This window comes from Homo sapiens, chromosome 2, assembly GCF_000001405.40.
Source record: "Homo sapiens chromosome 2, GRCh38.p14 Primary Assembly".
Taxonomy (NCBI): domain Eukaryota; kingdom Metazoa; phylum Chordata; class Mammalia; order Primates; family Hominidae; genus Homo; species Homo sapiens.
In genome coordinates, this window is record NC_000002.12 from 17,907,207 (window position 1) to 17,933,873 (window position 26,667).

Genomic DNA, 26,667 nt, shown 5'->3' on the forward strand with positions numbered 1-26,667 from the left:
TATGTAATGGCCTTCTTTGTCTCTTTTGATCTTTGTTGGTTTAAAGTCTGTTTTATCAGAGACTAGGATTGCAACCACTGGTTTCTTTTGCTTTCCATTTGCTTGGTAGATCTTCCTCCATCCCTTTATTTTGAGCCTATGTGTGTCTCTGCACGTGAGATGGGTCTCCTGAATACAGCGCACTGATGGGTCTTGACTCTTTGTCCAATTTGCCAGTCTGTGTCTTTTAATTGGAACATTTAGCCCATTTACATTTAAGGTTAATATTGTTATGTGTGAATTTGATCCACTCCTTATGATGTTAGCTGGTTATTTTGCTCGTTAGTTGATGCAGTTTATTCCTAGCATCGATGATCTTTACAATTTGTCATGTTTTTGCAGTGGCTGGTACTGGTTGTTCCTTTCCATGTTTAGTGCTTCCTTCAGGAGCTCTTGTAAGGCAGGCCTGGTGGTGACAAAATCTCTCAGCATTTGCTTGTCTGTAAAGGATTTTATTTCTCCTTCGCTTAAGAAGCTTAGTTTGGCTGGATATGAAATTCTGGGTTGAAAATTCTTTTCCTTAAGAATGTTGAATATTGGCCCCCACTCTCTTCTGGGTTGTAGAGTTTCTGCTAAGAGATCCGCTGTTAGTCTGATGGGTTTCCCTTTGTGGGCAACCCGACCTTTCTCTCTGGCTGCCCTTAACATTTTTTCCTTCATTTCAACTTTGGTGGATCTGACAATTGTGTGTCTTGGAGTTGCTCTTCTCGAGGAGTATCTTTGTGGCATTCTCTGTATTTCCTGAATTTGAATGTTGGCCTACCTTTCTGGGTTGGGGATGTTCTCCTGGATAATATCCTGCAGAGTGTTTTCGAACTTGGTTCCATTCTCCCCGTCACTTTTAGGTACACCAATCAGACGTAGATTTGGTCTTTTCACATAGTCCCATATTTCTTGGAGGCTTTGTTCATTTCTCTTTACTCTTTTTTCTCTAAACTTCTCTTCTCACTTCATTTCATTCATTTAATCTTCAATCACTGATACCCTTTCTTCCAGTTGATTGAATCGGCTACTGAAGCTTGTGCATTCGTCATGTAGTTCTCGTGCCATGGTTTTCAGCTCCGTCAGGTCATTTAAGGACTTCTCTACCCCGATTATTCTCGTTAGCCATTCTTCTAATCTTTTTTCAAGGTTTTTAGCTTCTTTGCCATGGGTTCGAACTTCCTCCTTTAGCTCGGAGAAGTTTGATCGTCTGAAGCCTTCTTTTCTCAACTCGTCAAAGACATTCTCCATCCAGCTTTGTTCCGTTGCTGGCGTGGAGCTGCATCCCTATGGAGGGGGAGAGGTACTCTGATTTTTAGAATTTTCAGTTTTTCTGCTCTGTTTTTTCCCCATCTTTGTGGTTTTATCTACCTTTGGTCTTTGATAATGGTGACGTACAGATGGGGTTTTGGTGTGGATGTCCTTTCTGTTTGTTAGTTTTCCGTCTAGCAGTCAGGACCCTCAGCTGCAGGTCTGTTGGAGTTTGCTAGAGGTCCACTCCAGACCCTATTTGCCTGGGTATCAGCCGTGGAGGCTGCAGAACAGCGAATATTGCTGAACAGCAAATGTTGCTGCCTGATCGTTCCTCTGGAAGCTTTGTCTCAGAGGGGTACCCGGCCGTGTGAAGTGTCAGTCTGCCCCTACTGGGGGGTGCCTCCCAGATAGGCTGCTCGGGGGTCAGGGACTCACTTGAGGAGGCAGTCTGTCCATTCTCAGATCTCAAACTCTGTACTGGGAGAACCACTACTCCCTTCAAAGCTGTCAGACAGGGACATTTAAGTCTGCAGAGGTTTCTGCTGCCTTTTGTTTGGCTATGCCCGCCCCAGAGGTGGAGTCTACAGAGGCAGGCAGGCCTCCTTGAGCTGCAGTGGGCTCCACCCAGTTCGAGCTTCTGGGCTGCTTTGTTTACCTACTCAAGCCTCAGCAATGGCGGGCGCCCCTCCCCCAGCCTCGCTGCCACCTTGCAGTTCTATCTCAGACTGCTGTGCTAGCAATGAGTGAGGCTCCGTGGGCGTGGGACCCTCCAAGCCATGCATGGGATATAATCTCCTGGTGTGCTGTTTGCTAAGACCGTTGGAAAAGTGCGGTATTAGGGTGGGAGTGACCTGATTTTCCAGGTGCCATCTGTCACCCCTTACCTTAGCTAGGAAAGGGAATTCCCTGACCCTTTGTTCTTCCCAGGTGAGGCAATGCCTTGCCCTGCTTCGGCTCACACTCGGTAGGCTGCACCCACTGTCCTGCCCCCACTGTCTGACGAGCCCCAGTGAGATGAACCCGGTACCTCAGTTGGAAATGCAGAAATCACTCGTCTTCTGCGTTGCTCATGCTGGGAGCTGTAGACCGGAGCTGTTCCTATTCAGCCATCTTGGAACTGCCCCACCTCGGGTTATTGACATTTTAGATAGGCTAACTGAGGATGTTCTTGTTGAGAAGATATCATTTGAGTGAAGACTTGAGGGAAGTGAGAGGGCAAGCCATGCAGAAGAAAGAGCATTCCAGGCAGAGGGTTCAGCCACTGCAGAGGCCCTGAATTAGGATATGGCTCACTTGGCATGATAAGCATTAGCAAGGAGACCAGGATGACAGATGGGAATGATAGAGGGTGAGAGGAGTAGGAGGTAAGATCAGACAAATGAAGTTAGGGGAGGGTGGATGGTGGGCACTTTGACTCTGAGTAGGATGGAAGCCACTGGAGGGTTGAACATAGGAGGGACATGATGTGATGCACATTTTAACAGGATCTCTAGCTAAAGGATTCTTAATCCTTCCTTTTGCCATGAACCCCTTTGGGAGTCTGAGAAACCCTATGGACCCCTTTTCAGAATAGCGTGTTTAAACACAAAAGATGAAACCTACAGGATGTAAAGGAATCCAGTTATGTTGAAATGCAATTACCAAAATAGTAAAAGCAATTTATGAGTTAGCAATATATTTGCTTATTAATTCTTTAAATAAAATCTAGCAGTAGGTCTATAACTACTGTGATTCCAAAGTAATAATGAGTATAAATGATATTTTGAGATCTCTTCAATAACTCTGATAGGATATGAAGCTATTCATACTTCTATTGGTGTGAAGTCATTGGCACTGCTAATACACACTACCCTGGGCCAATGCCTGCATTTTTAATGGAAGGAATTGCTAAAATTTTAGTTAGAGATTGGTGAAAATAAATATTTTTTTCTGTCTAAATTCAAGGACCTCCTGAATTTCAACACAGACCCCCTACTCTAACTCTTAGGTGAACAGTTTAAATGGAATACAAAAGAGGAGAGGGATGAAGTAATGAAATGTTGCTGTTTCTGTTGTTGTCAGCATATCAGTTGGCACTACTGGAATTCACTGCTTGCCATTTCAGATCACTGGGATTCTTGGTGGATTGGCACACCCAGTGGAAGTGTCTACTTTTTTTTTTTTTAAATGTTCTAGGAAGAGCAGTAACTCCAAGAGGTCTTTATAGTCTCTGATTGGTTCCTTGTGGCTAAATCTTTCAGGAGGCCCGAGGTGTGGTCCTTTTGTAGCCGCAGATTCTCTGTGTGGCCACAGGCAATCAATCCATTCTCCTCTCCCATAGACATCTCTTACTTTGGTATTCCTAATTCACAAAGATGTGGATAGTACAGGCAGAATTCTTCATATTTTAAAAGAAATAATCTGTATAAATAGCTCTAGGTCATAGGCTACTTCCTATAGCCCAAGTCTACCATTTTCTGCTCTCTGTCCATACCACGAGCTTTCCTGCCACCATGCTTTTGTATGTGTTCTTTTCTCTCCTTGGAGAAGAGCCTTCTTACCCTTACCTGGCTCCTTTACTTGTTCATACCTGACTCGCTCTTCAAGGATTATCTCCAAATACTACCTATTCATGTAGCTGTCCCCGCTTCCTTATCTCGAGGGACTCTACCTCTTCTGAACTTCCTCAATACCGTCTCTGTACCTTTTCCCATGCCTGACATACTACTGGACCTTGTATTGCCGTTATTTATTTACCCATTTACCCTCCTTTTTGTTCTTCTCAGCTCCTGTAAGCTTTGAGGGCAAGATCCATGTTATCTTTTGTCCTTGGTAGTTCCCAGGATACTGCCTGTCATAAAGCAGCCATGAATGAATAGCATTAGCTCAGGATAGTGGAGGGCTTTGGCTGGGGGCTGGGGATCCTTTCTCATGTGAATCTATAAGTTCATTTGATATCTATCTCATTCCCCTTTTCCTCTGCCCAGATGCTGACTGGAGCTGCTTATGACCTTTTATTTTTCTATGTAGAAATAACTATTTTCATAAATATTTTATAATACCTATTTATTTAAAGTAAGAAATGTACACAATGTTGAGATGTAGAGAGTAGAAAGCAAAATCACTCCAAATTCCATTATCCAGAGACAATGAATTTAACATTTTGGTATATATTCTCATTTACTCTAAAAAGACATATTTTACAAAGATAGGATCATGCTATATATTGCGTCATAATTATTTCTCTTTTGTACTTAGCATATTGTGACTTTTTAATGGTTTTACATGCAGTAGAGCTGTAGTAGCTAAGAGAATGGCTTTGAAGAATTATTGTTTGGATTCGAATCATGGAGTTGTCACTTAATAGCTGTTGACTCCCTAAAATCAGTTAACTTCTCTATTTACCAGTTTCTCCATCTGCAAAACGAATGCAATAAAAACACCACTTGTCTGAGTGCTGCAAGGATTAAATGGATTTAGACATGTAAAAAGCACAGGGCCAGACTTAGTATAAGGAAGCTGTAACTTCTGTAACTTTTATTATTTCAGCATTTTTAATGGCTACAGAGTATTCATTGCATGGCTACCCCCAGTCTATTTAATCATTCCTCTATTGATGGACGTGCAGGCTGTCTTTGACATTTCACTCTTACAAATAATGATGCAGTGAACAACCTTGTACATGCATCTTTCAACGCTTGTCTGATTTATTTCTTCAGGACACATGCCAAAATGTGAAACCCTGGGATTTTGTGATACACATTGCTATGATGTCCTCCAGAAAGGTTTCTTTAAGAAGTTTTCACTGCTATCATTGTATGATACTTTCCTGCTCACTCCAAAGCTGCTTGCTTTCAGTTCCTCTTTATCGGCCTGTGTTAGTGCAGTTGTTTGATGCATTCAAATGGGACAGCCCTAGCCTCTGTCTCCAGCTAGCCATGCGGTAGGGAGATGACTACAAGGTGGATGGAGCCAGTGCAGTTCCTTTCTGTGGCCAGGAGCAGTTGCATGGACCACTCAGAGTGACCCTAGAGCCCTGTCAACACTCAGTGACTGTGTTGTACTTCCTTCTATGAGGTGCACACCCTTCCGCAGGGAAGCGCCTGGTCTGCCTGTCTCTCCTTTCCTTTCTCTAGATTTTCTTGCCAAGGCAACACAGCTGCGTCCCTGCTGCCTCCCCTCCATTCCCCAGGGGGAGGTTGTCTAGAAACATAGAGCAGGAGGAAAGGAAGGTGGTATTTAGTTACCCATGCATCAAGTCTTGGGATTCCTGCAGTTGGTATGGCATTTACTCACTCTGAATGACCAAGAAAAATATAATTTATACTAACCTTTCAAAAATAATTTAGAGACTTTGCTTTAGAAAGCACTTACTGGTTTGTCCCTGAATATATTAGACCCTGAGAAGTTTTCATTTTCTTTTAGGGACAGATTTTTAAAAATCATGTTAATTCAAGGATTTGCCATATTAACTTAAGGTACTTCTTGAAATTTGACAGTTAAATTTGGACAGAGTTAGTAGTGGAGGGATATTCTTAGTCATGCCCTGTCTGAATCAACTGGAAGATGTTTGATTCTGATTGCTTTGGATTATAGGATTTAAATATCAGTACATTTTTTTTCTAGCACACTAAATCCAATTATGGCAGTATGATTATGATATTTTAATTTTATTTAATTAAACACTGGGTGACAGTTTTCAATAGTTAAGCCAGATAGAGGTAGGGTTGGATTTCACCTTTTGTTATTATTCATATAATTTTATTGCTCTCAGATTTTATTAAAAGTAGGTCTGTCGTTGATGTATGGTAGCAAGACTACAAAACTGACATGAATTTGCATTTTTTCCAGGGACACCAATTAGTCTCCACAAGGTTGGAACTTCGGTCAGGAGTGGGCGTATTCAGCAGGCTGAATAGCCTACCTGCAGAAAGCTGCAGCAGGCTATAGATCTGAAACTAGATTAGTGCATATGCACAGTATATCATTCTGGCACTAAAATGTTAGAAAACTTAAGACAGACTCACTAACCTTTAGACTCAAATTGCATGAAGCATGGTTTGAGTTTCCACAAAAGGTTAAACTTGCTTTTATCTTTCTTCATTTTTAAAGTTTTGGTTGTATGACACTGTAAATGCCATGACTGAATTCTAAAAGAACAAGTGTTGGGAGGGTATCCCCAGCCCCTGTCAGCAGATGAAGTATTAGTACAATTTGTCATTCCCAGTCTTCTGACCTTCCAGCTCCCAAACAGGTGCCTGAGGTTCTTTTCCTGTACTTATAGAGCATTGGTTCTTAAGTGGGGATGATTTTGATCTCCAAGGGATATTGGCAGTATCTGGAGACATTTTTGGTTGTCACAGTATTGTGATGGGTGGGTGGTGTACAAGTGGCATCTAGTAGATGAAGGCTAGGGGTGCTGCTAAACACTCTACTGTGAATGGGACAGCCTCCACAAGAAAGAATTACCTGACCCCACAATGTCAATAGTGCCGAGGCTGAGACATCTTGCCGTAGAAGTTTTCAAGGTTAGGATATCTCCAGATAAGCTAGCTGCTGCCAGGAGGGTACTCACAGGTCCCATTTCCCAGGTAAGATTATCACAGGTTGGGTCGGAGTCAGCTATCTCTTAGCCTTGCAACTACAGAATTTCACCTCAGGTGTCCCAGAGCTGATCAAACTGTAGGAGGTTGACTTGCATTGAAACTCACAGGAAATTGCATAAATACACCTCTTCCTGTCTTACTAAGTTCCATTACAGTCATAGACAGAACTAGCAGACAGAGTAGACACTTGTGTTGGCCGCATAGCTCGTTTGCTCCTCATAGCAAGGTGTGTGGGAACCCAGATCAGCAGGAGGCACCTCAGGGAGCCTGGAGTCAGAACAAAGGGAAGTCTTTGGGGATTATACAGATACCTGAAACTCCGAGGTCTTGACATTCAAAACCCCACTCTTGAGATGTCCCACCATTTGGGTTGGACATGCTGAGTCTTCAGGTTAAGACTCTTCTGTTTTCACCACTGCTGGGATTGGTCGTGGGAACCAGCCTCAGTCTTTCACACTTTCCTTCTCTGCTGCTACTACTTACCAGCTGCCTTTCATTATCCACATTTATTCTTTTCATTAATTTACTCTTTAGTCTTGTTGGCTCAGGGAAGAGGAATTGGTTCAAAAAATGTGTCATGCACTACCCTGTGACAGCGATAATTAATATGAAGATTGATATTAGGACACTGTCCCTAACTGGAGGCTTTCTCAGTCTAGAGGGTGGCACTGATGTGACAACATTTCAGAAGATTGTGGGCAGGACAGTGATGGGGCCACACAGGATTCTGTGCAAGCACAGAGGACACAGACCTACGGTGCACTGTCACTTGGAGTGTCTGCTTTGATCTATCAGGCACTGATTTTGTAGTTTTTGGAGGGCAACCTTACTCCTATGATTCTGAGACCTGGGAGAATGGTGCAGGGAGTCATTCTCACTCATGTGGACTGTCTGCTGTCCATTTGCTTTTCCTTGGGTTCTGTTCCAAGATTGGGTGTCAGGAGTCTGGAAGATGAAAGAGTCCAATATGCCACTTAGTCATTACCTTTTCCCTCTCAATAATGGAGGCAGTCATTTGTTCACTTTTGAATGCTGTAGTCAACCCACCAGGAAATGCAGCCAGCCTGGAGGGAAGTAAAAGGATGATGCAGAGAGTTTTGTGAAGAAAGGAGGGAATTCTGCAGAGGGTGGCAATATTTGAGTGAGCTTGATGTGTTTTCCAGGATCGGGCTGAATCACTCAGCAAAGTCAGAAACCTGTTAAGTGCTAAGTCACAAACAATGCTCTCTTCTTTTGAACAGGCCAACACTGATCGGGCTGGTAGGAACATAGAGAAATGGAAACGCTGGATGGGATTGTTAGGCAGGAATGGGAGAATGGGAGGATATGTTGAATGGACACATTTTTCTTCCCCAAAGCCTACTGGCTTGGGTCATGTTCTGCTCACTCCCCCCAATCCCTGCTTGACCTTCCCCAACAACTAAGAGGGATCTTGATTTTCCACACTAATTGAACTCAGGCAGATCTACCTGAGTTTAACTCCTGGCTGTGGTGCACCTTAGGTGTAGGACTTTGGACAAATCACTTCTCTGAGCCTCAATGTCCCCCATATAAAATGGGGATAATACCACTTATAATGGCTGAGGGCAGAGGAGATGTGTGTAAAAATCCTAAAAAGGTGCTTAGCTTCTTGTGGGTCTCAGAAGATGCTAGTTATAATTTTATGTTGAGAAGTCACACTTAGAATGTGAATGCTCTTAGAGAGGTGCTAATTTACATAAATTCATAACAAGAGATATTGTCTGGTATTACATCTTGTCTGAAAATCCAGTTTTTTTGGATAGGAATCATGGTGATGGAAAATGGGGCAAGGCACAGGAATTCTGAGTTTTGTGGGGAGGGAGAGAGAAAGGGACAGCCTGGGATGTCATTTATTCATTAGACATAGACTAAAGGCCCATTACATACCAGTGCTATAAAAAGGATACACTTGGCTAACCTCTCAGTCTGTCTGTGGACCAGCCCTGACCTTTCTGTGGTAAGCCAGTGCAATGAACTTTAGGCGGTGCTTGGGGATACTTAGAAATGCTGCATAGCCTAAATATTTGGTTATTTTTTCTTTAGTAATTAATATAGTGATTTATTAATTACCTCTCAGCCAGATTAATCCTACCTTCCCTTAAAGTGTGCTACAGTTGGAAAGGCATCTGATAGGGAAAGGAAAACTATGTGTGTGCTATATCCTTTTACCAAGGTGCAGCAGCAGTTCTGTGTTTCATTGGAATGCAGAGAACTGAGGCTGACCCAAGGACATGCCACTGAGAGGCCATGAAGGAGGAAGAGGGAGAAAGAAGGAGGAGGAGGAAGGGGAGGAGGAGGAAAGCATGGAGGAGGAAGGAGGAGGAGTTTAGCACCTGAATTGATTTTACTTACCCTGTTGAGATTTCTCTACCTCCTCTGCTAAGTGTTCCATCTTATAAGTTCAGTTTGGGTGGAGCTGCATTTGGCTTCTGGATCTTTCTTCAGTATAATCTCTGTTGGAGGTGGGAATTTACCCCTCTGCAAAGTCCAGATGTGCTGAAGGATTGCTCTGCTGTTGCTGGGACAACTTGGAAACTGTGTTCCTGCTTCATTCCCCCTCCATTGCCCCTTGATGTTGTTAGGATGCTATTCACTTGTTTATTTGGTTTTGGGCCTGAGAGCTCTTGAGGGACTGGGGGCAGGCACTGCATCTGGTTTATAATCCCAGTGCCTAAGATAATGCCCAGCAGATCATAAACCACAGTGAATGTTTGTTTAATCACTGGCCTAGCCAGAGGCACTTTTTTTTTTTTTTATCAGAATCAATATTTTCTTCTTCTTCTTTTTTTTCCCTCCCCCTTTTGGACCTGGTGTGGATTGAAAAACATGAAAATCAATGGATGGATGCTTAGAAGCTAGTACCAATGTATGGGAATGCATCAGCATGAGGCAAGGCTTACCTGGGTGGAAACTGGATTTTTTTTGCCTTTTAAAATTTATTCAGAGAGAGAAACTGAAATTTGGCTTTTTATTTGTTGTGACAGAAACTTAAAACATCCCCCCAACACACACTTCATATACATAACCACACACATAAACTGTGATTGCACCTGTGTCATTTCTGATCTGTGAAATATAATAATGGGCAAATAAAGCAAAATTGAATTTGGCCAGCCTTTGAAATCTATTGATTTCAAATTAGAGCAGCAGTGTTAATTCTATTATAGCAGTAATACCCAGAAGGTAGATTTTGAAATGGATTAGAATGCGTTCATTTAGAAGCTTACAAGTATATCTCGATGAATTAGCTGGGAGAATAACACTTCTATAAGAAACCATGTGGGAGTAGGTAACTGCAGCCCTAATTCTAGTGCCTGGTTTTATCTTTAGATGTTTTAGTGGCCTCTGTCAGTAGAGGAATCCTAAGACTTTCACTACTGTTGAGTTCTGAGGATCCTTAAACCTAGCACATGTCCAATGGCAGTGATGGTTCCACAGGGGGAAGAGACCACCCCCCACTTGCTGAGAATTAGGTGGGGCTTTCAGATTTGAGTCTCATCAGCAAAGTGCCCAGAGTGTTGATCCTGAGGTAGAATGTCTTGGGTGTATTTCTTCCTTGCAGTTACAGCTTGGCTGATGGTTTTTTCTGCAGGTGAGAGTGATTTTCCAGTGATTGCTTTGGCCTGTACAACCAGAGAACAGGATTCTTCCCTTCTTTTTGGCCACCAAATGCCTATGTGCACCACACATTCCAGTGTGCTGAGAAGGGCAGAGCTTCTTGGATGATGATGGACGTCCCACCGGGCAGGATGAAGGCAGAGCGTGTGGCATCTCCACCTCAAGGGTAAGAGTTGCCATTCTATCTTATTTTCTCAAGCACCCATTATTTATCAAAGGAGGATGAGAATGAGCGTTACAGTGTAGTGAGAAAGATGAAAGTTAGACACTTCTGATGGTCAAATCCACTGGGCAGTTGGGACAGATGACTATGGGAAGAAAAGTGTTGGTCTCAAAGGATTAGATTGGAGTTATATTAAGGGACACCACTGGCCAACTTTAGAAAATGCTGTGGTTCACATTTTCTCCCTCTCCCTTTTTTGACATTTATAGTTCAGACTTGAGAGAATGACACTACTGTTATTGTAACTAGGTTCCATTTGTGTTCATGTTAGCCAGTCTGGCTTAAAATGTGTGTTGTGGACTGGAATTGGTCAGAGTCTGGCTCAGGTCACAGACTGGGTAGCTCATCAGATGTACCTGGGCCAGAGGCACATCTTTGTTTGAGCCACATCATGCTTCAAACATGTTGGATCAATTCTAACTAAACTTGAGATATTCCACATAAGGATCAGGGTTTCCAGGTTCTCCTGGGAAGACGGAATGATATGTCTATACTGGGCCTCTGTTCCTAAAAAGGATTCTAGTGCTGAGTAGCCTCTGCCTCTTAGACAAGTGGGGACAGTTCACCACCATCCCCAACCATCTCATTTGTTTGACTTGTTTGGTCACCGGAGGTATTTAATTTTGCCATGCCTGTTCTAGATCATTCTGCTAGCTCTTTGACAAAAGTAGTAATAGCCTTTGTTAATTCCTCCAGATAAAAGCAAGTATCTTTTACTAGATTGTGGGCAGCACTTAGCATAAGGGGCTATAGCTGTAAGAGGATAATACATGGTCCCTTCCACAGCGAAGCTTGGAGTCTAGAGTGAGCAACAATCAGACTTGTGGGGAATAAGGAGAATTGTAGATAACATCATAATGCCTTGTGATATGTGCTAAAATCAAGGTGTACACAAATGGGCTATGGGAGAGGGTAGAGAAGAGAGAACCATTAATTTGGCCTGGGCCCAAATTCTCCAAAACTCCCTCCCCTGGGCAGCAGAGCTTTCCCATGACAGACCTCTGTATGTGCTTGATTCCAAGCAACCTGGCTCAGCTGGAGATGTGATGGAGTATTTACAGCAGGGCTAGGGGCCCCTCTTGTGGTAAAGTCCAGGTTTTTCCTGTTTCTGTTTGAAAAGCTATCATCTACGATTCTTTGCTTTTTACAAAGAGGACAGCTTTCTGGTTGTTTGGCTCACTAAATCACTCAGCCTTCTGAGCAGCTCTCTGCTTGGAGATGAGCTGTGTGAATTACAGAGATCCCTGGAGTTTCCAGAGAGTAGCAGTCACACTAAATACAGATCCAGAGGGAGTGAGTACAACTTTAATGTGATTGTACTAGTTGGTGGGAGTAAGAGAAGGGAAGGGAATAGGGGAAGGAAGTGGGGGAAGGTAGAAATACCATTATATCAGTCTTTTATTTTTGGAACACAGTTTTACATGTGGCTTGTGCTTTATGTTTTCAAAAGACTTTTACATTTGTTATTTTATCCTCAAGGTGGGTTTATAAACTCCTTCTATAGATGAAGACTTCACCTGCCCAAGGTCATGCAGATAAGAAGAGGCAGCTCAGACACAAGTTTTCAGAATCCTAGTCTTTCCCTCTTTTTTGCTAGTTGATGCTGATAATTCAGCATGAATAAGAGGACATGCTGTTTTTGTTTTGTTAAGTTCAACATTGAAACGTTGCATTCAGTTTATGAATGCTCTGGAATAGAGCACCCTGGGACCCTGCAAATTGTATGGACCTGTGTCATTCATGTGTTGTCCAACTGTGGCCCATGCTGTCAGAACATGTCCAGCGCAGAACAGACCTGGCAGGGAGTTTTCTTGCCTGACTGTTTGGCCGGTGGGATTCACGCTTTACAGCAAGCCTTCCTCAGTGGACTGGGCTGCACCACTTGGAAAGCTACTGGAGGTGTTGGCTCCATGTAGGATCCTCGCCATGCTCAGACAATGCTGTAAGAGAAGACTCTTACCAGGGAGGCACCTGGTAGGAGGTTGGTAAGGAGGAGACATGGGTATGGATTGAGTTTAGGTTTCCAATTCTGTTTACGTTTGCTTGGTTTTTCCATTTTGTATATCCCCACATGGCATGACCAGAAATTGAATTTAGCATGACCTACTCTTTAAAAAAATCAAAATGAGCTTTCTTTTTAAATTTAATAGAATAAAAGAAAACTCTTAGAAGAATGTTCCAAAAAGAAGGCAGTGTTAAATGCTGAAAATGGTGTATTTTTTTCTTTGATGAAAAAGGATTAATGTAGATTTTTGGACATCTACAAAACAAGAAGGAAAAACAAATCTGGGTTTTTATTTACTTTTATGAAATTGATACCAAAAAGCAGTTCTGTCCAGTAAGACAAATTGGCTTGTATTATAATACTTTCATTACTTTTCTGAGCAAAGCAGGTGCATTATCAGAGACAGCCATGAGCTTGTGTATATGTGTATGAGTCAGCCTTGAAAAGACACAATTTTGAGAATATTTTCTTAGGTGAGTTTGAGAGCATGAAGCAACAAGAGCAGGAAGTGGACCAAGAGGAGGCGAATAAAAGGTTAATGGCTTTGAAAAAGCTTTACAGGGTGCCAGTTGGAGACAACTGAATCAATGGTAGTTTTCATTTTACGCTGCCAGGGAGTTTCTTGGATTTTTGACATATTCTTCTTCTTTTCAATCTTATAAACACCAAGAGGGACAAGGTGGTCAAATACTGTATATATAGTGTTCTCACCATGAGTGATGTGGGTTGATAGTAGGGAGGAGAATCAATACAGTGAAGCTAAGTTTAGCTTTAAGAAGAGAATGAAAATAGCAGTTGGGTCTTCTACTTTGTGGCCAATGCCACTGTACCCTCAGATGTGCCTGATTTTAGACCCCATGTGTCTTCAGCATGTGAATGTCAATCTCCTTACAGTATGGCTGACATAATATGCAAATGAGAACATCAGCCAGTCTCTACCTCCTCCCACTTAAAAAAATAAACTTTAAATACTCATATTTGAGGCATTGTGGAAAGAGTCTGCCGCATAAAAGGTGGACAACGTTGGGCAAATTCTGAGCCTCAGATGTCCCCATTTGCAACACGGGAGTCTAAGGTCTATGACTTAGGGCTGTTAGAGAATTAAAGACAATGATTCATTCATTCAGTTACATGTACTCATTGCCTGCTAGTGCCTATGTACTGCACCAGTTGTTGAGAATAAAAGAGTGAATAATAGTGTATATGAAAGCACTTACCACAGTGCATAGCCTGAAAAAAGATGCTTAGCACATTTTTCTTAAAACATTTTTAATGGAGAATTTTAACATGTACAAAAATAAAATAATACATTAAACTCTTTTGTGCCTATCCATGACCCGCTGCAACAGTGATTAACTCATAGCCATCTTGTATGATCAGAGCTCCTGCCTTTCCATGTATTATTATGAAATCAATCCCCAATGTTGTGTAATTTTATCAATAAATATTTTAGTATGTATTTCCAAAAGATAAGGGTTTTCTTTTAAGAACATAATTATATTACTATTGGGACACTGAAAAATTAACAATGATTTTTTTTATAATATCAAGTATCTAGTTGGTTTTTGTACTAGTTCATTCTCACATTGCTATAAAGAACTACGTGAGACTGAATAATTTATAAGGGAAAGAGGTTTAATTGATTAAGAGTTCCGCATGGCTGGGAAAGCCTCAGGAAACTTAAAATCATGGCAGAAGGCAAAGGGGAAGCAAGCACATCTTACCATAGTGAAGCAGGAGAGCGAGAGAGAGTGAAGTGGGAGATGCTACACATTTTCAAACAACCAGATCTTGTGAGAGCTCACTAACAATCATGAAAAAAGCAAGGGGAAGTCTGCCCCCATGATTCAATCACCTCCCACCAGGCCCCTCCCCTGACACTTGGGGATTACAATTTGACGTGAGATTTGGGTGGGGACACAGAGCCAGACCATATCAGTTTTCAAATGTCCCTGATTTTCATATATATGTGTGTGTGTGTGTATATATATATATATATATATATATATATATATATATATATATAAATACATATACATATATTAAGCATTTGGCTGGTTAGAATCAGGATCTGTACAAAGTCTGTACACTGGCTTTGTTTGATATGCCTCTTATTTGATCTGTGTCATTTGTCCTGTATGGTTTCCCAGTCTTGATTTTGCTGATTGCACCCCTGTGGTGTTATTGACCATATTCCTCTAAAATATTTATTTTGTTCAGTAAAATCTAGTTATTTTATTATATTAGGCTTGATTAGTGGGTTCAAATATTGTAACTCTGATCTCTGTTATGAAATTCCCCATCAGCTTTTTATCCGGATTTTATCAGCCATTGATTATCATTGCCTAGATCTATTATTTTATTATGAGATTTGAGTTCTATTATTTCTTTTTTTACTTATTAGCTGGAATCCCTATTTATTCACTTATTTTTATTATAATTTTAAAAAATGATAAATAGAAATAGAGTCTCACTGTGTTGTCAAGGCTGGTCTCAAACTCCTGGGCTCAAGTGATCCTCCTGCCTTGGCCACCCAAAGTGCTGGGATGGAATCCCTTTTTAAATGACAGTATTATTGAGATATGCTTTGAATACAGCAAAATCTACCTTTTTAAAAATGGGTTTAATGCAGTGGTTCTTGGTATATTCATGACTGTACAACTTTCTAATTCCAAGACATATTTATCATCCTCAAAGGAAACCCAAATCCATTAATAGTACCCATCTCCCCTCCCCCCAGCCCCCAGCAACCACTAATCTACTTTCTGTTTCTATAGTTTTGACTATTATGGATATTTCATATAAATGGAATAATACAATATATGATCTTTTATTGTCTTTTTTTAAGTAGACCTTTTTCATTAGCATAAGTTTTCAAAGTTGATCCAGGTTGTAGTCTGTCAGAACTTCATTCCTTGATGGACATTTAGATTATCTCCCCTTTTTCGCTATTATGAATAATGCTGCTACGAACATTACATACAGTTTTTGTTTGAACATATGTTTTCAGTTCTCTTGGGACTATACCTAGGAATGGAATTGCTGGGTCATATGGTAAACCTGTTTAACTTTTTGAGGAATGGGCTTAAACTGCTTTCTCAAGTGGCTGTACTATTTTACATTGCTTACAATGACACACAAGGGTTCCACTTTCTCCACATCCCTGCCAACACCTGATGTATCATAATACAACATTTGCATTATTATTACTTTTTGACTATAGCCATCATACTGGTATGAAGTGGTGTCTCATTGTAATTTTGATTTGCATTTTCCTAATGTCTAATGATGTTGAGCATCTTTTCAAGTACCTTTTGGCCATTTATATGTTTTCATAGAAATGTCTATCAAAATTATTTGCCCATTTTAAAGGAGTTTATTTGTCTTTTTATTATTGAGTTGTAAGAGTTCTTTATTCTGGATACTATATCCTTATCAGATATATGATTTGCAAATATTTTCTTCTATTTTGTGAGTTGTCTTCATTTTCTTGATACTTGTCCTTTGAATTGATAGTGTCCTTTGAAGTGCATTTTACATTTTGATAAAGTCAATTTAACTATTTTTTCTTTATTTTTCTGTAATTTTAGTGTTATAGCTAAGAAGCCATTCCCTAACTCAAGGTCATGAAAATTTATGTTAATTTTTTTTCTAAGAGTTTTATAATTTTAACACCTACATTCAGGCCTTTGATGTATTTAAAGTTAATTTTTGTATATAGTGTGGGATACATATCCAATTTAGATTTTTTTGCATGTGGCTATCCAGCTGTTCCAATACTATTTATCGAAAAGACTCTTCTTACCCCTGTTGAATTGTCTTGACACACTTGTCAAAAATCAATCAAAAAGCCCATATGGGCTTATTTTTCAGTTTATTGATTGATTTTTGACAAGTGTGTCAAGAATCAATTTGTCAATTTCTGAAGTTTTAGAATTTTGGAATCAATTTGTCAATTTCTGAAAAAAGGCAGCTAGGATTTTTATAGGAATTGTATTTAATCTATGAATTAATTTGGAGGGTATTGCCATTTAACAATAATAAATCTTTCAATCCGTGAACATTGGGTGTCTTTCTATTCATTTATTTCTTCCATAATTTTTTCAACAACATTGTGTAGTTTTCATTTTACAGGTTTATGCCACTTTTGTTAAATTTATTTCTAAATATTTTATTTTTCTGGATGCTATTGAAAATATAATTGTTTTCTTAATTTCATATTTGTATTATTGCTAGTATATAGAGATACAGTTTTTTTGTATATCAATCTAGTATCCTGCAAAATTGCTGAACTTATTTATTAGTTCTAATTTTTTTGTATATCTATTCCATAGGATTTTCTATATACAAGATCATGTCATCTGCAAATAGAAGTAGGTTAACTTTTCCTTTTCAGTCTGGATGCATTTTCTTTCTTTTCTTTGCCTAATTTCCCTGACTAGAACTTCCAGTACAATGTTGAATAAAAGTGGTGGGATTGGACATTCATGTTTTGTTCCTGATCTTAAGAGAAATGCTTTTAGTCTTTTTTCATTAAATATGTTTTTAGCTGTGGGTTTTTCATAGATGCTCTTTATCAAATTGGAGAAATTCTGTTCTATTCTTAGTTTTTGAGTTTTTGTTTTTAATCATGAAAGAGTGCTAGATTTTTCAAATGCTTTTTCTGCATCTTTTGAGATGATAATGTCATTTTCATTATTTCTTTAGTATTTATATTACCTTGATTGATTTACACGTTAAGTTAACCTTAAATTCCTGAGATAAATCCCACTACTCATGGTAATATAATTCTTTTTATATGTTGCTGGATTTGGTTTGCTGATGTTTTGTTGAGGATTTATTCATCTGTATTCATAAGGGATGCTCCCTGTAGTTTTCTTGTGATGTCTTTTTCTAGTTTTGGTATTAGGAGAATACTAGCTTCATAGAAGGAGCTGGGAAGTATGCCTTTCTCTTCTAATTTTTGGGAGGGTTTGTGGAAGATTGGTGGTGATTGTGGTAAAATTCACCAGCAAAGCTATCTGTACATGAGCTTTCCATATGAAAATTTTTAAAATTGCAAATTCTGTATCTTTACTTGTTAATAAATAGGTTTATTCAGATTTCCTTTTTCTTCTTGAGTTAGTTTGTGTAGATCATCTCTTTCTAGTGTAAACTAAAAATAAAATTCTAAGCCCTCTTGACTATCTGAATGGACCCCTCCTCTAGGCCAACGTCATTCCCAAATTAACCTGAAAAATGAGTTCAGACCATGATGAGAAGGAGAGGTAAGACATGCTTCATTATACCCTCCTCTTTTTTGGAATTCAGGAAAAGCTTACCAGCGTCAACATCAACATGAACCTTAGGACTGATAGTGCAGTCTCTTTAATTCTGATAAGAAACATTTACTGTCTATTCTCTCTGAAGTTGCTATCTGGAGGCTTCATCTGCATGATAAAACCTTGGTCTTCACAACTGCTTATCTTAACCCAGACATTCCTATTGATTCTAAGTCTTTAGACAATGTATTAATCTGTTTTCACGCTGCTATAAAGACATACCCGACTGGGTAATTTAGAAAGAAAAGAGATTTAATTGACTCACAGTTCCGCAGGGCTAGGGGGTCTCAGGAAACTTACAATCATGGTGGAAGGGGAAGAGGCACGTCTTACATGGTGGCAGGCAAGAGAGAGTGGCGAGAGAAGGGAAAAGAGCTTTTTATCAACCATCAGACCTTGTGAGAACTCACTCACTATCATGAGAACAGCGTGGGGGAAACTGCCCCCATGATCCAGTTACCTCTTACCAGGTCGCTCCCTTGACACGTGGGGATTACAATTCAACATGAGATTTGGGTGGGGACACAAAGCCAGACCATATCATTCTACCTCTGGCCCCTCCCAAATCTCATGTCCTCATGTTTTAAAACCAATCATGCCTTCCCAACAGTCACCCAAAGTCTTAACTCATTTCAACATTAATTCAAAAGTCCAAGTCCAAAGTTTCATCCGAGACAAGGCAAGTCCCTTCTACCTAGGAGCCTCTAAAATCAAAAGCAAATTAGTTACTACCAAGATACAATGGGGGTACAGGCATTGGATAAATGCTTCCATTCCAAATGGGAGAAATAGGCCAAAGCAAAGGATTGTTTTGGCCCCCAAACAAATTGGCCCCAAAGGGGCAAGTCTGAAACCCATCAGGGGAGCCATTAAGTCTTAAAGCTCCTAAATGATCTCCTTTTACTCCATGCCTCACATCCAGGTCACAGTGATGCAAGAAGTGGGCTCCCATGGTCTTGGGCAGCTCCACCCCTATGGCTTTGCAAGGTACAGCCCTCCTCCCAGCTGCTTTCATGGACTGGTGTTGAGTGTCTGTGGCTTTTCCAGGTGCTCAGTGCAAGCTGTCAGTGGATCTACCATTCTGGGGTCAGGAGGACAGTGGGTGTCTCTTCTCACAGCTCCACTTGGCAGTGCCCCAATGGGGACTCTGCGTGGGATTCTAACCCCACATTTCCTTTCTGCACTGCCCTAGCAGAGGTTCTCCATGAGGGCTCTGCCCCTGTAGCAAACTTCTGCCTGGACTTCCAGGCATTTCCATACATCCTCTGAAATCTAGGTAGAGGTTCCCAAACCTCAGTTCTTCTGTCCACTTGCAGGCCCAAGACCACATGGAAGTCATCAAGGATTGGGGCTTGCGCCATCTGAAGCCATGGCCCAAGCTGTACCATGGCCCCTTATAGCCATGACTGGAGCTGAAATGTCTGGGATGCTGGGTGCCATGTTGCAAGGCTGCACAGAGCAGCGGGGCCCTAGGCCTAGCCCATAAAAACTTTTTTCCTCCAGGCTTCTAGGCCTGTGGTGAAAGGGGCTGCTGCCAAGACCTCTGATATGCCCTGGAGAAATTTTCCCCATTGTCTTGGCAGTTAACATTCAGCTCCTGGTTACTTATGCAAATTTCTGCAGCCAGCTTGAATTTCTCCTCAGAAAATGGGTTTTTCTTTTCTATCACATCATCGGGCTCCAAATTTCCCAAACCTTTATGCTCTGCTTCCCTTTTAAACAAAAATTCCAATTTCAAACGATCTTTTGTGAATGCATAAAACAGAATGCTTTTAAGAGCACCTAGGTCACATCTTGGACACTTTGTTGCTTAGAAATTTCTTCCACCAGATACCCTAAATCATCTCTCTCAAGTTCAAAGTTCTACAGATCTCTACAGCAGGGGGAAAATGCCACCAGTCTCTTTGCTAAAGCATAGCAAGAATGAGTGTTTGTTCCAGGTCCCAATCAGTTTTTCATCTCCATCTGAGACCACTTCAGCCTGGGCTCATTGTCCATATCACTACCAGCATTTTGGCCAAAACCACTCAACAAGTCTCTGGGAAGTTCCAAACTTTTCCACATCTTCCTGTCTTCTTTGGAATCCTCCAAACTGTTCCAGCCTCTGCCTGTTACCCAGTTCCAAAGTTGCTTCCACATTTTGGGGTATCTTTATAGCAGTACCCCACTCTCTGTGGTGCCAATTTATAGTATTAGTCAATTTCCATACTGCTATAAAGACATACACAAGACTGTGTAATTTATAAAGAAAATATGTTTAATTGACTCACAGTTCTGCAGAGCTGAGGAAGCCTCAGGAAACTTACAATCCTGATAGAAGGGGAACAGGCATGTCTTACATGGTGGCAGATGAGAGATGAGCAAAGGGGGAAGAGCCCCTAATAAAACCATCAAATCTTGTGAGAACTCATTCACTATTACAAGAACAGCATGGGGAAACCACCCCCATGATCCAATCACCTCCCACCAGTTCTCTTTCTTGACACTTGGGCATCACAATTGGAGATGAGATTTGGGTGGAGATACAAAGCCCAACCATATCAGACAATAATAACTTAACTCTTTCAACCAATTGCCAATCAGAAAATCTTTGAATCTGCCTATGGCCTGGAAGCCCCCCACCTCAGCTGCCAGTTTTCTGGGCTTTCTGGACAGAACCAATGTACATTTTACATATATTGATTGATTTCTTGTGTCTCCCTAAAATGTATATAGCCAAGTTGTAGGCCAACAACCTTGAGTACATGTTCTCAGGATATGCTGAGGGCTATGTCACAGGCCATTGGTCACTCATATTTGGCTCAAAATAAATCTCTTTAAATATTTTAGAGTTTGACCCTTTTTGTTGACACTAGCAATTTGTACACTTCATCTAGGTTATCTAATTTGTGGACATATGATTGATCATAGTATTCCTTTATAGTTCTTTTCATTATGTAAGGTCAATAGTGGTATTGTTCTTTCATTGCTGATTTTGCTAATTTGAATCTTCTCTCATTTTTTAATTTTCCTTTGTTTTGTTTAAGTTTTGAGACAGAGTCTGACTCTGTCACCGAGGATGGAGTGCAGTAGTGCGATCTCGGCTCACTGCAGCCTCCCCCTCCTGGGTTCAAGTGATTCTCATGCCTCAGCCTCTCGAGTAGCTGAGACTAGATGTGCATGACACCATGCCCAGCTAATTTTTGTATTTTTTGTAGAGATGGGGTTTTGCCATGTTCACCAGGCTGGTCTTGAACTCCTGGCCTCAAATGATCCATCTGTCTTGGCCTCCCAAAGTACTTTCATTTTTTCTTGATTAGCCTAGTTGAAGATTTGTCAATTTCGTTGATTGTTTTAAATGACCAATGGCTTTGTTGAATTTTTTTTAAATTTTATTCTCCATTTGTTTATTTGCATGTTAATCTTTATTATTTCCTTTTTTTTTTTCAGAGGAGGAATTTGTTCTCTTGCAGACAACCTTGCCTTTCCATAAACATAAGGGGAAAGAGATTCCTTTCTGACCTTTCTGCTCCCTTTAATGGTGTTACTGTCTGCCCACTTTTACAGACTAGAAAACACATCCTCTTTTGGCCTTTCTGCTTCCTTGTCCCTTTTTTTTTCCCAATCAGTTACCAAATCCTGTAGATTCTGTCTTATAAACTTCTTCTGAGTTTATCACTTCCTCTTTATATGCACTGCCACTGTGTGTGTCCATGTCCTTGCCACCCCTAACCTGTTCTGTTGCAGCCCTGTCTTCTTGGTCCCAGCTTTTGCCCCGTGCAGCTTTCACGCTGCTGTCATTGGCGGCTTTCTAAGTCACAGTCACAAACCTAGCTATGTCTACTTGTTGATTAAGACCCTTTAGTGGTCTTGCTGACAGATTCTTTGGACTGATATACAGGGTCCTCCACAATCTGGCTTCTGTCTACCCTTCGATGCCTCTGGTGGGAATGTCCTTTTCCTTTCAGTTTGGTGGTGTGTTAGTCTGTTCTCACACTGCTATAAAGAACTACCTGAGACTGGGTAATTTATAAAGATTTAATTGACTTACAGTTCTGCAGGCTGTACAGGAGGCATGGCTGGGGAGGCCTCAGGAAATTTACAGTCCTGGCAGCAGGTGAAAGGGAAGCCAGCATGTCTTACATGGCAGAGCAGGAGAGAGAGAGAGTGAAGGGGGAGATGCTACACGCTTTGAAAGAGCCAGATCTCATGAGAACTCTGTCACGAGACAGTGCTTGGGGGATGATGCTAAGCCATTAGAAACCACCCCCATGATCCAATCACCTCCCACCAGGCTCCACCTGCAACACGCAGGATCACAATTCAACATGAGATTTAGGTGGGGACACAGAGCCAAACCATATTAGGTGGACTCCACTTGAACCTTTGAGCTGCATATAACCTCTGCTATGAAGCTTCTCCAGGTAAGGTCACTGCTTTTTTCTCAGTAATCCCAAAGATGCTTGACTGACCTCTCGCATAGCATGCTTCACATTGGATTATTAGATTATAAAAAGGAAGAAGGTGGGGGAAGTCTATGTAGTGGAGAGAACATGGACTTTGGAATTAATTCAACCTGGGTTTAAATCTTGGCTCCATCATTTACCTATTATGTACCTAGAGAGGCTGAGAGCAGTACCCATTTTTCTATCCAGCTACCATATAGTGTTGGAAGGACTGAATGACATAATGTGTAAAGGCCTCCAGTAGTATCAGGTGGGGACTCAGTATATGACAGTCTCCTTTTATTTGTATCATCTGTTCTGAGGAAACGTCATTGCATTGGGTGAGGATCAAAAGCTGTTATTTTCTCTCTGAGAAAGCGACCTGGTGTATCCTGATTAGTGTCAGAACTAAAAACAGGCCACGTGCTCAGCCAGTATAGACAATCTATGGAAAGATAATTATAGATTAGGGCCACGTGGGGACTGTCTGTGATGGGAAGGAGGAGGTGGGAGTGGAGCGGGTTTGTGTCAGGAAACTGATAGTGCAATTACCATAAAGAGGTTTTCCCAAGTCAGGTTCTTTTCATGTGGATGTTCCTGAAACACCATCCCATGAAGTGTAATGATATCTTTAAGATATAAGGTACTTAAGCACAGGGAGATAATTATATCCTCTTGATTGTCCACATCCAAACACAGGGAGTAGGGCTTTCTCTTAAAGGAGTAAAACATTGGTACGCAAAGGGAAACTCACATCCTTTGTAAGAGCTGAGCTGAGCCCCCTGTGATGAGTGTGTTGGGGGCATGACCAAGCCCTAGGGATTGGAAGGGATGAGCTTCAAGCCTGGCAGCAACTAGCCTGTCATGTCTGAATTGAGTTTTCCCAAACATGAAGAGCTTGTGCTTGAATCTCTGGAGACGCTTGTATTATGTAAGTGATCTAAATTGCATTGTATTTTTGGGGGCAAGGTTGGGAGGTACAGTTTGAATGCTTAACACACAGAGAAATGGCAATTAGGGTTCATACAAATTATATTGCCATCTTTCCTCTTTCCTAAAGAAAATGGGTTCCCAAAATCCTAAGTTTTTTTGGGAAAAATCTGTTTTGTGTTGATTTTCTTCTGAACAAAATGCATAATAATGTATTCATTTTTATTGCATTTCCTGCTTTGCTTTTAATGTAGCCCATCCTCCTGGAAAGGGCAGATTAAAAATAAGCTTGGCTGGGCACGGCAGGACAGAGTGCTAATATCATCTTGTGCTCTTTCCAGGTGCAGCCTGATCTTCCTCTTCTCCCTTGCCAGCCAGCACTCTGCCTTCTGTATCCACCATGGTGTTTGGTGAGTTTTTCCATCGCCCTGGACAAGACGAGGAACTTGTCAACCTGAATGTGGGGGGCTTTAAGCAGTCTGTTGACCAAAGCACCCTCCTGCGGTTTCCTCACACCAGACTGGGGAAGCTGCTTACTTGCCATTCTGAAGAGGCCATTCTGGAGCTGTGTGATGATTACAGTGTGGCCGATAAGGAGTACTACTTTGATCGGAATCCCTCCTTGTTCAGATATGTTTTGAATTTTTATTACACGGGGAAGCTGCATGTCATGGAGGAGCTGTGCGTATTCTCATTCTGCCAGGAGATCGAGTACTGGGGCATCAACGAGCTCTTCATTGATTCTTGCTGCAGCAATCGCTACCAGGAACGCAAGGAGGAAAACCACGAGAAGGACTGGGACCAGAAAAGCCATGATGTGAGTACCGACTCCTCGTTTGAAGAGTCGTCTCTGTTTGAGAAAGAGCTGGAGAAGTTTGACACACTGCGATTTGGTCAGCTCCGGAAGAAAATCTGGATTAGAATGGAGAATCCAGCGTACTGCCTGTCCGCTAAGCTTATCGCTATCTCCTCCTTGAGCGTGGTGCTGGCCTCCATCGTGGCCATGTGCGTTCACAGCATGTCGGAGTTCCAGAATGAGGATGGAGAAGTGGATGATCCGGTGCTGGAAGGAGTGGAGATCGCGTGCATTGCCTGGTTCACCGGGGAGCTTGCCGTCCGGCTGGCTGCCGCTCCTTGTCAAAAGAAATTCTGGAAAAACCCTCTGAACATCATTGACTTTGTCTCTATTATTCCCTTCTATGCCACGTTGGCTGTAGACACCAAGGAGGAAGAGAGTGAGGATATTGAGAACATGGGCAAGGTGGTCCAGATCCTACGGCTTATGAGGATTTTCCGAATTCTAAAGCTTGCCCGGCACTCGGTAGGACTTCGGTCTCTAGGTGCCACACTGAGACACAGCTACCATGAAGTTGGGCTTCTGCTTCTCTTCCTCTCTGTGGGCATTTCCATTTTCTCTGTGCTTATCTACTCCGTGGAGAAAGATGACCACACATCCAGCCTCACCAGCATCCCCATCTGCTGGTGGTGGGCCACCATCAGCATGACAACTGTGGGCTATGGAGACACCCACCCGGTCACCTTGGCGGGAAAGCTCATCGCCAGCACATGCATCATCTGTGGCATCTTGGTGGTGGCCCTTCCCATCACCATCATCTTCAACAAGTTTTCCAAGTACTACCAGAAGCAAAAGGACATTGATGTGGACCAGTGCAGTGAGGATGCACCAGAGAAGTGTCATGAGCTACCTTACTTTAACATTAGGGATATATATGCACAGCGGATGCACACCTTCATTACCAGTCTCTCTTCTGTAGGCATTGTGGTGAGCGATCCTGACTCCACAGATGCTTCAAGCATTGAAGACAATGAGGACATTTGTAACACCACCTCCTTGGAGAATTGCACAGCAAAATGAGCGGGGGTGTTTGTGCCTGTTTCTCTTATCCTTTCCCGACATTAGGTTAACACAGCTTTATAAACCTCAGTGGGTTCGTTAAAATCATTTAATTCTCAGGGTGTACCTTTCAGCCATAGTTGGACATTCATTGCTGAATTCTGAAATGATAGAATTGTCTTTATTTTTCTCTGTGAGGTCAATTAAATGCCTTGTTCTGAAATTTATTTTTTACAAGAGAGAGTTGTGATATAGTTTGGAATATAAGATAAATGGTATTGGGTGGGGTTTGTGGCTACAGCTTATGCATCATTCTGTGTTTGTCATTTACTCACATTGAGCTAACTTTAAATTACTGACAAGTAGAATCAAAGGTGCAGCTGACTGAGACGACATGCATGTAAGATCCACAAAATGAGACAATGCATGTAAATCCATGCTCATGTTCTAAACATGGAAACTAGGAGCCTAATAAACTTCCTAATTCAGTATGGAGAATGTCTTGGTTGTATGTTTTTATGTTGAGTAACTACATTTTAGCATGTTCAGGATTGGTTTGGAAGAAAAATGTTCTTTTTGGAGTACCAAGAGCCCTTCCTTTCTTTATGCTTTTGAATTTTAGGTATGTACCAAGCATGTGCTAGCTCTTTTTTCAGTAGACTTGATGGTAGTTGGCAGATAGAAGAACATGTCCATGACTAAATTGCGCTGTCCAGCATAAACTGATTAAACATGTAGGTGTTTGGGACACACTCAAAATTGGCATATATGAATGAAGCGTGTACTCTTACAAATATTTCTTCAGTATATCTTTTGAATTTTATACTAATTTATACTGCTAGGACAAAATCTCACTACCTAAAAAATATTGCAGAGCAGAGTAAACCTACACATTCACAGGCAGGGATACTTTCAGTGAATGGAAGAAGGGAGAAATGTTGTACAAATACACAGATGTGATTCATTATGACCGGAGGAGTGAAACTTAAATCTCTGGAAAAATCTATGCCAGCAGCTATAAAATGAGCCAACATTTTCCAATAGCCGTAGAGATGGTAATTTCTGCATCTCATGTAGAAACTTCTCACAAAGAAAGAAGACATACATACGCATTTTCAGACAGTGGCAGAGCAATTCTATCCCATGTGGAGAGAATTTAGCTAAAGTGTTAATTTTGGAGATGTGTGGAGACTGTCACGCACGCCACCAGGGGCTGGTTATGGATTCTTTACCTGAAGTCTTTCCAGTGGAAGAGCCACATGGATTTGTTATGTTTGTAGATGCATTTCATTGAAAGAAGGGCATTATCAGATATAGGTAACTCTTTGACTCATCACTCCTCTTAATGTTTCTATGGCTTCGGAGATGGATATAACTAAACAGGGTTTATGGCCACTTTTAAATCTGGAG

At 41.3% G+C, this 26,667-nt stretch overlaps 1 protein-coding gene across 4 annotated transcripts in view; it reads left to right on the forward strand.

The window, feature by feature from the left end:
• Positions 1-25,752, forward strand: part of KCNS3 (potassium voltage-gated channel modifier subfamily S member 3) — a 55,112-nt gene extending 29,360 nt beyond the window's left edge. For 3 of the 4 annotated variants that reach the window (NM_001282428.2, NM_002252.5, XM_047444255.1), the window contains exons 2-3: positions 10,474-10,665; positions 23,744-25,752. In NM_001282428.2, the coding sequence (NP_001269357.1) occupies positions 23,803-25,278 (1,476 nt within the window). In that variant the 5' untranslated portion in view covers positions 10,474-10,665; positions 23,744-23,802 and the 3' untranslated portion in view covers positions 25,279-25,752. Of the gene's footprint in view, positions 1-10,473; positions 10,666-22,080; positions 22,452-23,743 lie in introns of all 4 variants that reach the window. The other variant, XM_011532825.2, reaches the window with a different exon arrangement.